This window comes from Homo sapiens, chromosome 1 (assembly GCF_000001405.40).
Source record: "Homo sapiens chromosome 1, GRCh38.p14 Primary Assembly".
NCBI lineage: Eukaryota > Metazoa > Chordata > Mammalia > Primates > Hominidae > Homo > Homo sapiens.
Genome location: NC_000001.11, coordinates 176,737,272 through 176,751,042, shown reverse-complemented (window position 1 = coordinate 176,751,042; position 13,771 = coordinate 176,737,272). Strand labels below are relative to the sequence as shown.

The window sequence follows — 13,771 nt, the reverse complement described above, 5'->3', positions numbered from 1 at the left end:
AACTGGATCCCTTCCTTACACCTTATACAAAAATCAATTCAAGATGGATTAAAGATTTAAACGTTAGACCTAAAACCATAAAAACCCTAGAAGAAAACCTAGGCATTACCATTCAGGACAATGGTAAATGTTTTTAATGCAAAAGGTAAATTCTCAGTTCAAGGATTTTTGCTTTGCATATAGGACCATATAATAACACAATGCGTGAACTCATTATTTTTCCTTGACTCAAATTTTATATGTTTTATAATGATCCATTTCCACTCAATAAATTGTAAATGTATTTTCTCTTCCTCAATTTTCTCAATAAGATTTTCCTTTCTCTAGCTTACTATTATTTTTGTAAGAATACAGTATATAATACATTTAATATATCAAATACGTGCTAATTGTTTGTTGTTGTTGTTGTTGTTGTCACTTTGTTTTGTTTTGATTTTTGAGACAGAGTCTTGCTCTGTCACCCAGGCTGGAGTGCAGTGGTGCGATCTCGGTTCACTGCAACCTCCGCATCCCGGGTTCAAGCAATTCTCCTGCCTCAGCCTCCCAAGTAGCTGGGATTACCAGTGCCCACCAGCACACCAGGCTAATTTATGTATTTTTAGTAGAGATAGGGTTTCACCATGTTGGCCAGCCTGGTCTCAAACTCCTGAACTCAGGCGATTCTCCTGCCTTGGCCTCCCAAGTGCTGGAATTACAGGTGTGAGCCACCGCGCCTGGACAATTGTTTATGTTATCAGTAAGACTTTCAGGCATCAGTAGGCTATTAATAGTTAAGTTTTTGGGAGGTCAAAAATTATATGCATTTTTTTTTACTGTACAGGGTTGGTACTCTTAATCTACATGTTCAAGAGTACAGGCTTAGTTTTATTTAAGTAAATAGAAAAATAAAGATTTATGATGAAAAGAAAAAAGGAAAGAAGGAGAAGAGGAAAAAGATCTGAGGATGCCATTGTTCTTTACAACAATATTTATGTTTTTCTTGAAAAACAATGTATCTTCATATAAAACTAAATATCCTCTTAACCATATGATCCAGCAATCACATTCCTTGGTATTTATTCAAAGACATTTAAAAATTTATGTCTATAGAAAAGCCTGCATGTGGATATTTATAGCAGCTTTATTCATAATTGCCAAAACTTGGAAGAAACCAAGATGTCCTTCAATAGGTATATGGATAAATAAACGGTTGTACATTCACATAATGGAATATTATTGAATGATAAAAAGAAATGAGCTATCAAGCCATGAGAAGACATGAAGGAAACTTAAATGCATATAACAATGTGAAAGAAGCTAATCTGCAAACCCTACACACTGTGTAATTCCAACTATATGACATTTCCAGAATATGACATTATGGAAAAGGCAAAATGATGGAGATGGTAAAAATATTAATGGTTGTGAGAAGTTTGGGACAGCAGGGATGTAGGGTATGGTGGTGAATAGGCAGAACACAGAGGATTTTTAGGGCAGTGACAATGCTGTGTGTGATACTGTAATGATGTATCATTACACATTTGCCCAAGCACATAGAATGTACAACAAACACTGAGAGTGAATTCTAATGTAAACTACAGATTTGATGTGATTATGATGTGTCAACGTAGGTTCATCAGTTGTAACAAATGTACCACTCTGGTGGGGGATGTTGATAGCAGGAGTGGCTAGGCATGGGTGGGATCATTGGGTGTATGGGAAATCTCTGTACCTTCCTTTCAATTTTTCTGTGAACCTACAACTGCTCTAAAAGAATAAAGACCTTAAAAATAAAACAACAATGCTCTTTTAAATGGCACAACCACTTAAACATTTAAATTATTTTACAAATTGGTTTTATAATTCAATGCATATCACATTAACCTTTTTCGACTGTCTTGTATAAAGTGAAACATATTCACAAACACACACATACATACACACACACATATATTCATACAGATATATGACCACATTGGTGTATGTGTATGATAGATACTGGATCAAAACTGCTAACTCTCAATTATCCATCTTTATAAAAATAATCAGAACAAAGATAATTGAAACAGTAACCATAACTTTTTAATTTTTGTGTTTTTATATACAGTCATGTGTCACTTAACATTGGGATACATTCTGAGAAATGTGTTGTTAGGTGATTTTATTGTGCAAATATCAAAGAGTGTACTTACACAAACCTATATGATATAGCCTAGTACACACATAGGCTATATGGTGTAGCCTACTGCTCGTAGGCTACAAACCTGTACAGCATGTTATTACTGTACCAAATACTGTAGGCAATTATAACACAATGATGTGTTTGTGTATTTAAACAAATCTAAACATAGAAAAGGTACAGCAAAAAATACTGTATTATAATCTTATGAAATCATTATTATATATACAGTCTTTCATTGAGACAAATGTAATGTGGTACATGACTGTAATTTTATTTTCTAGGAAACACATTAATATTACTGATTAAATTTCATTTTGATGATATTATAAAAATACCAGTTGAGCCATGAAGAAGATGGCTCTGAAGCAGACTAAAGAATAAGGGGAAAAAATCTGGACAGGTATCATTCATAAAATAGATGTGCTTTTTCTAGATAAAAGAGAGTTGCAAGGACATTCTCTGGTAGAGAACTGCTTGGATAATCCACCTACCAAGAGCTGGGGAATTTCTATGAAAAGACCTTACTCTTGGAATCACTACTTTTCCTTCATGCTTTTTTCCTGCAAGCAAGTTATTTGTGTATCCCTTCTGCCCTAAGCTGTCTAGTAAGTTGAAACCATTATAGCATGTGGCTCTTTCAGGATATGAGACACATGTAGTTGGATAACTCCAAGGTTACTGCATACATTCGCCTATCTCAGGCTAAACTATTGTGGTGAAAATAATCCCTGCCTTTTGAAATCCCTACCCTTGCATAATCTCCACAACTTGAGTGTGGGTGGGACAAGTGACATGCTTCTAATCAATTGAATACAAAGTTGACAAGCTGTAACACTTGTGATTATGTTACAAAAGATTGTAAAATTTACTTGCTGAGAGACTCTTTGTCTTGTTGGCTTTGAAGAAACAAGCTACCATAGGTGAGCTTCCCAATGGAGCAGACTATGTGGCAAGGAAGTAAGGGTGGTTTCTGTGCAACATCCAGCATAAAAACTGAAGCCCTCAGTCTGACAGTCTTTTGGAACCAAATACCAACAACCATGTGAACTTGGAAGTGGACCTTCCCCAGTCAAGCCTTCAAACGAGAACACATTCCTAACTGACACCTCATTATAGCCTTACAGATGACCCAGCTAAGCGTTGCCTAGAATCCTGACCCTCAGAAACTGTAAGATTATAAATAAGCATTGTTGTAAGATGCTATATTTATAGTAATATTATTATACAACATTAGAAAACTAATACACACATAAGCCAGGCTTTCAAAATTATGTTTCTTTTCCTGGGTTAGATGCACTTTAATCTCAGAGAGAGTAGAATATGTTTCCTCAGATTTTTTTTCTTCTCTAAGAAACAAGATTTTTATTTTTTTATTTTTTTGGTCTGGGCTAGGACCCCATAGGAGCTGGGTCAAAACTTCTCTTTTTCTATTGTCTTCAAATCCTCTGGGTTGTGCCCATAAAATTGCCCTAATCTGAATTGCATATTTCCTACACTTTCCCAAAAGTCCAAAGTATCTTTACAATTTTCCCCTTGGTAACCTACTTCATCAGGTTTCCCCAGCTTGCCTGTATTACTTGGAGCCTGAATTTACAAGTCATCATTTCCTCAAAACAAATATGCCCGTTCACATAAGTAGATGTAAAATACAGCTGTTATTTGATTATTCCAGGGCTAGTTAAACTTTTGTTACCTGAATCAAAATATGATTTGAGAGAGGGTGGCAGGATTTCTTGAAGAGTAGTAGACATGAATCGATTTCTGAAATAGTTCACCATTTATATAATAGAAGCTTTCCTTCCCAGAAACAAGTTACTTGGATTCCAGTCTTACTTTTGCTAATCCCAAATAAAGTAAATTTGTGCCCTTGAGTCTCAGTTTCCTCAGCTGAAAAATTATGCCTGTTCCATTGAGTCACTTAAATGGTTTTTGAACAACAGTCTATCTCTTTCTATACACAAACGCACATGAATACACACATGCAAACACACACACTACACATATAATGAGAGTGAGAACAAGCGAGAGAAGAACCCCAGTTTCCATATGGATATTTATTTTAAAAGATTAATATCTTATTCAATTTTATATTAGAACACCTGGCTTTGATAAGTTATAGTTCAAGGCAAACCTTAGAACCCACTATGATTTTACATTTGTGAGTATCTATTACTTGTTTTCCATCTCAATCAGAATGTGTATTTATACTGAATAAACTAATAAGGTATTTATACTTTATGTTGGTCTTTGCTTAAGTTCAAAACATTAAAAAAATATGAATTTCTAATTAGCTCAAATCTATTCAGAAATTATATTTTAAAATAGTATTCGCCTGTAGTCCCTGCTACTTGGGAGGCTGAGGCAGGAGAATGGTGTGAACCCGGGAGGCAGAGCTTTCAGTGAGCCAAGATCGAGCCACTGCACTCCAGCCTGGGCAACAGAGCGACACTCCTGTCTCTAAAAAAAAGAAAAAAAGAAAAAGAAAAACAGTATTGAAGCCAGGAAGGAACTCCTGTGTGGAACACGAAAGACACAGAGAACAGAGGTTTCCTCTTGGTTATTTGACAAGACTTTCTCTGCTGGTTATCAACTTATTGCCTCTCAGTTCCAAATCCACCCTTCATTGCCCTGCTTTATGATACTAGAGCTGGACCATGAAAACATTTCTCTTTACCAGCTAGCATGTCACTTTTTTCTTCAGTAGATGGCACTGGAGAGACATTGCAGGATGAAGAGGCTTGCCTTCATTCCTATGTGCTTTCCCGTCCTTGCTTCTCCAGCCATGTGTGGGACAACCAGTGGTGCTCACCACCTAGTGAGTTTCAGGGACACTCCACATGTCCCAGCAAGTCTTATCAGCATCTTAGCTGGCTTCTCAACAAGTCTCAGTGGCACCCCTGTGGATGTCTCCCATCAAGTTTCATTAGTGCCCAGTGGGGAGACTCCCAGAAAGTTCCAGCAGCACCACAGTGACAGCTTTCCAGAAGTCCCAATTGTGTTCCAGAGGCAGCTTCTTCATGAGCTTTTACCTGCACCCCAGTGAGCATTTTCTGACTACCAGCCCCATTCCATTCTGTAGAACCTCCACAAACTTCTCTGCCACACAATGTTCCACAGCTGCACCTCCTCCAGTGAGATCTGAACCTCAGCTTTGGGTTGGGAGCCTCTTCCACATTTGTTCCTTTCTTGGATACTCTTCTATCACTCATAAAAGTAATGGTTGCTCCCTTTATCAATCATTCTTTTATTTGTTAGAGTTCTCCCTGCCCTTTAGTAGTTAATTCCATTACTGGTTAATAATTACTTTTATGAAACTTCTCTATTTTAATTACTGTGTCCTTATTGGATCCCAACTAAGATGGGATGGTACTGGGGTTAATAGTACAAGACAGATTCACAAGGATGGGATTTGGGGACAAGTTTGATTGTGCCTTTGGTCTTGAGTACAATCATTGGGATATGGGATGCTAGTAATCCACGGCATCCAGCAGCATCACTATTTCTCAAGCTGCCATGTTTGGTTTATTGTGATGAAGAGCCAACTGAAAAAATGTCTGCTGTATTTGACTATAGGTGTGCTGCACACCACTGGCCAAGCATGTCACAGCAACAGAAGAGAAGAAATTACACCAGAAACAGCAGAGAAAACCCCTCCTCCTGCATTGTCTATCTAGCACCCTCTACTGATGATGTGTAACATGATACCCGTTGGCAAAGGATAAATAGTGATAAAAATCCAGCTCTACTATTACAATACATGTGATGAGGGTGGATTTGGAACCAAGAGGCAACAAACAAATTGACTGATAACTAGCACACCTGATTGGCAAAAAATAAAGATGGGGAATACTGTGAAAATTGCCACAGGTGGTACTCCAACCTGGTATTAGAAGGTGTTACAAATCTCACATGTATTATTTTCAGTCAATCTCACAAGAATACTATAAGGTCATTTCTCTTGGCTTCCCATTTAAATACTAACAATATAGAAATATATGAAAATTATTATCAATACCAAAAACCAAGATTGGCAACCAAAATCTGTAAGGATTTTCTCTTGATTGAAAAAAATATTGGAGTTAAATTGAGAAACATCATTGGAAACCAAAGCATGTACTTTTTGTTTCCTGAAAAAGAGAGAATAGTAATGAAGCCAAACTAAAAGAAAAAAACAGATCATTCTTTCTTCATTTCCTGGCCCCTGTAAAGACGAGAAAACTGGGCCCTGTTTTTCATGGGTCAGAGATCTGTTCTCCAGTCATTATTCCCATCAGTACTACCTTTTCTTTACTCATTTCAGACTTCAGGTTAGGAAGTATAGAGGTCTTAGTGAGGTAGGGTGGGGTGTGGAACCAGTGGCAAAAGCCGTTATATATTGGGAGATATATGTCCTAAAGGTAAAATGCTACTGAGTCCTAAAGAATCCTAGAGGTTTGAGGATCATGGGATAAACTTTTGGAATAAAATCTTGGAGTAGTTGGACATGGCAAAATCTGAAAGCTTTGTAAACAGTGCAGTGAAGCTATGTGCCTGGGGCTCACTGGCAGCAAAGACAGAGAAAGGTTAAAAATAAAAGAAAGGCAAATATTTATCAAACAAATACAAACAAAAGGAAGGCAGGGATAGACATTTTAATTCCAGAAAGAGTAGAATACAAAGCCACAGGCATTTAAAGGGGTAAAAGGATTGGCAAGATGTATGATCCTAATAAAGATAAAAGGCTCACAAAAAATTATATACTTAACTATCTAATATCAAATTATATAAATCAAAAACTGTTTGGAATACAAGGGAAAAATGAAAGAAGCACAATTGCATAAAAGGTTGACACCACATTCTCAACCAGGTAGACTGGGAAATCTATGCAGATTGAAGAAAAAGTGTAAATGCTGTAAAGAGATGAGTAGAGTAGTCAAAAGTTTCAATTATGGTCATCAATCCATGTCCTGGAAAAGGAGATAATGTTCTGTATCTTTTGAAGATTCAGCACTCATAGATCTTATGGATATATTATCAGGTAAGTCACAGAAGTTACAATCAATTTTTTCATTTTATCCATGTGATTGGAAGAACAAAATTCGATAGGAGAAACCACATGCCCATCAGCAATTCTTGCCTGCTGTTAAACTTTTCTATCTTGACCTTGTAAATTCCCAAAGTAGAAAGAGTCCTGTTTGTCTGTAAACTAATTCACTCACTTAGGTATGTTAACATATTGGTGTCTGGGTTATATTTTAGACACACTGCAAATCCCATTACATTAATAAAATAGATAGTTTCCACTTCCCAAAGCCATCAACACAATCCTGGGATGGTTGGAGGTTTGCCTGATCCTGATACTGTGGCAAGTTGTGCAGAACCTATCCCTAAAGTGGCCAGAGCTGGAAACAACTGGAGGGTAAGAATGAATTAAGCTCTTCTTGAGCACTGGTGGCCAAAATCAGGAAAACTAAACTTGGTTTTCAAGACTAAAGGGTTCATGATCAGTAGAATAAGCTCAAAGGGTCATAAACTGGGTAGTCATCATAACAGAGTGAGAAACAAGACTGAGACAGAACCAAGTTAAAGGAACCAGGGAATGAAGAAAGAATAACCTGTTTCCCTCTCCTCTTTTAGTATGGCTCTATTCTTTAAATGCATTTTTTTTCCAGAAAATAAAAACCGTGCATGCTTTGATTTCCAATTATGTTTCTCAATTTAACCCCAGTACATTTGTAATCAGGAGGAAATCCTCACAGATTCTGGCTGCCAGGCTTGCTTTTTCATTTTGATAAGAGTTTTCGTATTCTGTGTTGTTAGTAGCTAAGTGGGAAGCAAGGAGAAATTACTTTGTCCAAGACAAAGATCATGAACATCACTGGAGAGGCTGACTTAGGTTTACTGGCTTTCATCTGAGATTCTGTGGGCCAATCAGGTTGGTTTTAAAGTGTAGTGTTGCAGGAGGGATGGGCCACTGGTCATTAATGTTTAAATACAAAATGGATAACACATATTCTACTGGCAGGCATCTGTCAGCTCTCCCCTGCCCATGTAAGTATCAGTGGAATTCAGGTCATAAGGGGTAAGAAGGAGGTAGCCAGGAATCCCTCTCACTATGCCCAGAATTTGAGGGTTTTATATCGTGGTGCCTCTACATATACAACTGTGACAGACACAGGCTGCAAAAACACTTTGACTCTTTGAGAATACATAGGGATTTAGGTTTCAGTTATATTCACAATTAAAGTATATGGGATTTACCAGGCTCCCGGTATATCAAAATTTACTACATTGTACTGATTTGCTGGCTGACAAGGAAAAGTCAATTTGCATGGCTCCTGTCAGTCACATGTGGTTTGGAAATGCTTATGCATTCCAGATACACAGTGTAAACTGGAGAATCATATCCTATTTCTCCTGGTTTGCATGCATGCATATGAAACTTGTTTTTCCCACAGTGCCACATGAGAAGAAGTGAAGAACTAGCGGCAGTAATTACAATTAATCAACTTCTTTGTTGAGACTTCACAGCTATGATTGTAAGGGGAATTCTTGTTCCTCATGTCTAGAAAGGCTGTAACTTCTACTTTTTTTTTTTCTTGTTCAGTTCTGTTCATGGAGCATTTAGAGATAAAGTCGGCAACTGTCATCCAAAACAGTTTCTCATACCTACTATGTGCTAGGCCTTCTGTAGATATTCAGAGATACTGAGCAGAATTATCCACTACAGGAAGCTCAGAGTTTAATGAGAAAGAACAACAAGTAAATAAATAGTTATCACCCAATGTGACAGCTGCTTTTGCAGAGTTTGCATTATGCAGTATGTCCTATGGGAACAGGGAGGAATCCGTTTGCCAAAACTTCACAGAAGGTGAATCTTGATGGTAGAGTATGAGTTGAAGTGAAGAAAGATTAGAAGGCAGTCACCAGAGTAGGAACTATGTGCAAAGCTCACCAAGAACACATGTTTCAGGGACCTGAAAGAAATGCTGTATGGCTTAAGGCCAGAGGTAGAGCCAGTAGAGAATATAATTTGAAAATATATGAGAGAGAGGCCATAATTCTAATAAATGTTATTTTAATAGTCTACATTCTTGTGTTAATATTTGGAGGCATTTGTTCACTAAGAAAGAAGACTTTAAAGTTGCAGATGAACTAGTTAACCTTATGACATTCATTACCCCTTACTGTTTCTCCCTTTCTAACACTTAGAACAATACCTGGCATGTAGTTAATGCTCAGTTAACATAAACTACTATTACTGGCCCCCAGAGATTCATGCCCCTATGCCAACCCCTCCCCTTGGGTATGGACTGAACTTACTGACTCATTTCTAATGAATAGAATATGCCAGAAGTAATGGACTATCACTTCCAATATTATGTTATAAAAAGACTGTGGCTTCCTTCTTGGGTAGTCTCTCACGTGTTCACCGTCTCTGGCTCTCTTTCTGTCTTGGATCACTGGCTGCCATGTCACAAAGACACTCAGATAGCTGCGGAGAGGCCTGCTTGGCAAGGAATTGAGCACTTCTATGTGAGCATGCTCACTGCCAGCACTTATGAGTGAGCTTGGATGTGGATCTTCTGAGGCCTGATAGTAGCCACAGGAGTGAGCTTGGAAGTGAATTCTCCAGCTCTGCTTGAGGTTTGAGTAACTACAGCCTTGGCCAACAGCCTGACTACAACCTCATAAGAGATCTTAAGCCAGAGATACCTGGCGAAGCTGTATCCAGATTCCTCACCCTCAGAAACTGTGAGATAATGTTTATGGTGTTCAGCCATTGACTTTTGGTATAATTTGCTATACAGCAATAGATAACTAACATAGTACACCAGTACTCTCTACTCCCATCCCTGTGAGGTCTGAGTATCTGGGATGCCTTGAATGAGCTTTGTGGCACCAGAATTTCTTTTTGGTGATGGAGCACTTCTTGGAACCCCAGCTTTTGTCACTAGGATCATAATCACCTAGTAACAAGTAAGCGATCTCACCTCCCTTGCTGAGGAATGAACCCTGTCACCTGTAGTCCCACTCAATTGATTAGACCATGCATAGAGTGATTCTAGCCCAAATGCAGAATAGATTATTGTGTTTGGGAGGCTCCTTCCCCTAACCTTGGGCACACCAACACTGTGAGTACAATCCCTCCAATAGCTGCTGCTGAGATGCTAGTGAACCTCATAGCCACATCTGTCTAGAGGATGACAATCACAGACATCCACAGAAAGACATATGTAGCTAATGCATTTCCTATTTCCACATATAATTCTAAATGATTATATGACACACCCTAGCAAGCAATTGTTAAACTTGCTATATACACTGTCCAGGTGGAAAGAAGTGGAAAAATATACATTGCTTAAGGAACATTGAGTTTTTGGCAGAGAATTTTTGGCAGTTTATATAACAATGTTGATTTGAAGTTGGTGGTTTTATATGTAAAAAAGATGTTAAGACCTTGTAAAGACATTAAATATTTACATAAAAATTATGGTCAGCTAAGGAAAGAAGAACAAAATATAAAACCCAAGTATGCCTTCCACAAATTATTCTTTGCTTGCTTCCTATGTCTTTTTAGTAGTTCCTAAATTCATTTTTCAGTTAGTGATTGAGCAAACACTCTATACATAACACTATGTAAATGTGAGCCAATCATTAGAGCCACAAGAAAAGGAAACAAAAGAAAGAAAGGGAAGTTTGTACCTCTGTCCCTGATGATTCTGCCCCTCGTCCTCTGAGATGCAGTTACTGGGAGCCGAAAGACCAATGCGGGAGGATGTCCTTAGAGCCACAGCTGAGATGCCGACCCGTGGGGATGAGAAATTCAGCAGCACTGAGGTGGTATGGTGGAAAAGGACATTCTGGTGATGGGTCACATTGATAATCAGTGGATTATGCTGGCATGACAGTCCATAGGTTCCTGAAGATAAACGGAGATGAATCATATTTTCAGCCATTGTTAGTACCATGTTTCCATATCTTGTATTCATTTTATCCTCTTAATAGGTGTATGATGCCAAAACCTAGATGTATGATGTAGGCAAGATCCCAGACAACATAAAAGACAGACATCAAGCTGACTTCTGGGTCTACCGGGTTGTCCTCTAGTGACCCTAAAGGGATATTTGTCAGACTCACCAAGAGAGTGGTTGCTTCCACGGACATCGGTCAGGTAGAGAGTCACTGTCGGCTGCTGATGCTCTCCGGGAACTAGGCCATCAGTTGTCAAAAAAATAAAAATTGCTCTGGCCTCTCCTGGTCTATTGAAACACACCTAAGCATAAGCACATTTATGTATAAGTCATTATTTCCATTGAGCTATCAAGACATGTGCTATACAATTTTTATTCTTCTTAGAGAGCTCACTATTTATAAAGTAAGAGCTTCCATTTTTTTTATAAATGCTAAAAATATGGAGTAGACACAGAAAGGTATTCAAGGTTGTATCAAACAACAAGATCAAATGGAAAGAAGATAATTTTCAGATGCTGAACATCCTATCTTTTTCTGAGACTGATACCTGAACTGTTTTTTTTTACTTGACCCTGTCTTTCTTTAAATTTCTGAAAACAATCATTTAAAGAAACCATTGCCAGAGACAATAAATGACTGCAGAGCCAGTGCAATAAATATCTCCTTATTGCCAAAGTGAAAACAGTGGAGAAGAATCATCAAACTAGCATCTTGCTCTAAATGGTTCCAAGTTCTGAACTGCCATGTCTAGTTATCTTTCCCCATCTTCCTATCTCTCCCCAAAATTTTTATCAGAACCTCTCACATAGCATGTGAACTCTGACATGGGAGATATGCTGTGGCAGAGTCTCTTGCTTCTGAAATTAGAATCTGCCAAACTGTTTATTCTTATGTGTCTTCCTGGTGCATCAAGCATGTATACCCAGTCCCCGGCCAGGAAAATAAGCCAACAATGGGACACAGGAAAATTCATGTATCACTCAGGAATGTCCCTAGATGGTTAGGGTGATTAACACTAAAACAGACTTTCAGAGTGAACTATGGAAGTGTTTTCCTTAGAAATCCTTTGATAGAAAAAAAAAGAAAAGAAAAAAAACATCTTAGAGAGTTTGGAAGATGAAGAGCAGATTCTTGCTACTGCTGAGACTCCAGTGTTCATCTTCCACACTGGACTTATTTGATATGGTAATTCTACTTTTGTTTTATTTCCCATAGCTGAATATTTCTCTTAATTTCCATTGAGAATAAATCTCAACTTTCCCTGGTGTTATATTGGTGTTGTATGATCAGAATCTGGAACTGAACCTTACAAAGTTCTACGTGCATTTCTATAGCTTTTTATCAGGTTCTAAGGGTGATGAAGCTCCAGGAAAATTGTTCCCAGTGTAAAAGCAGGGTACAACATCTAATGACAGGGCCTTCCTCTAAAAGTGGGGAGCAGGAGAGTAAAACATGTTTTCATTTTAACAAGAATTCTTCCTTGTCCACAGACTCATTTTTCCTGAGCCTTGGCAGTATGTTTATAGAGTTCATTTGCACTGCTGGCTTAATTAGGATGATTTTATGATTTTCAGTGGTCAAAGCAGCACGGCTCTCCCTTCTTTCTCTCCTTCTTTAAGGGAAAGACCAGTCACACTCTCTCTTTTTACAGTGTCTTTCCCCCCCTTTTTATTTCTCCTCTTTGAAGTAACAAATGTTTCTTCATAACTTAAGAAACAACCAGACCCAAGATTACACTTGCCATATGAAGTCCTTTGTCCCTGTCTGGATGAGGGCTAGACATGAAACACACCCTAAGGTAACCAAGAGCCCAATTCAATGCCCTCAGCTCCAGCAGCAAATGACATCAAAGCCCCCTGGGAATTTCCATAACCTCTTCCTTTTCATACACCACAAAAGAAACCTGAGTACTGGAAGAAAGTTCTGTGTCATTTTCTGAGCCAGGAACAGAATCCAAACAAATACCTGGTGGCTTTACCCCATTAGGACTCAGGCATGAAGAGTAGGGTGGCTTCAACAAGGAGGAAACCCAGCCTTCCCACCTTCTGTTGGATCCCAAAATAGATACCCACCTTAAGCTAGTTAATAAAGGTAGGCCTTATGGTGTGAGTGTCTACCTTTTGAACGTCGCTGCCTAAACCTCCAACCTATTTTTCATCTCCTAGCAATATGCCTCCTTGCTCCAAGGGTCTTTGAATATCAAATCACTTTGCCTGTTCCTGGTGGCAAGGTCTCTGTGCCATGATTTGTGGGAAGAAGTTATGCCAGGATTTCCAGGCCATGGCTTAAGTAGGAAAACCTCAGATGAAGCTTACAAAGGAGACACAGGCAGAGAGGAGTCTTAGGCTACACAAAGCAAACAGAGACAAGTGTTTGATCAAGTTATGGAATGCTGAGTCTTGGGCATTTCCTTTCACAGTGACACAGAAAGGTAGCCAAGTTTCATTCATTCGGACCCCACGTATGTTCACAACAGCAACTAGCACAAGAAAGTGTGAACCCTCATACAACTGCTGGATCTTCAAAAATAGAAACCAGCCTGAATCTGCATGTACATGTATAATAAATTCAAGCAGAGGCAAAAGGAACCCACTAAATTCACAGTTCTAGAGAGAGAGAGTAAGCCAGGCAGAAACCCTGAGTTCGATTCTTGGA

The 13,771-nt window shown here is 38.5% G+C and overlaps 1 protein-coding gene across 6 annotated transcripts in view, besides 1 other annotated feature; it reads right to left on the bottom strand.

Annotated features, from left to right (window-relative positions):
- Nucleotides 1–13,771, bottom strand: part of PAPPA2 (pappalysin 2) — a 382,427-nt gene that overhangs the window by 94,559 nt on the left and 274,097 nt on the right. For all 6 annotated transcript variants that reach the window (XM_047427180.1, XM_017002024.2, XM_017002023.2 and 3 more), the window contains 2 exons: nt 11,282–11,417; nt 10,847–11,063 (listed from right to left, as the gene is read on the bottom strand). In XM_047427180.1, the coding sequence (XP_047283136.1) occupies nt 10,847–11,063; nt 11,282–11,417 (353 nt within the window). The remainder of the gene's footprint in view (nt 1–10,846; nt 11,064–11,281; nt 11,418–13,771) is intronic.
- Nucleotides 3,164–3,364: a silencer, noted in NCBI's record as "peak474 fragment used in MPRA reporter construct". NCBI's record gives its function as "represses an SCP1 promoter by STARR-seq MPRAs in K562 erythroleukemia cells {active_cell/tissue: K562}" and the evidence as "EXISTENCE:reporter gene assay evidence [ECO:0000049][PMID:32103011]".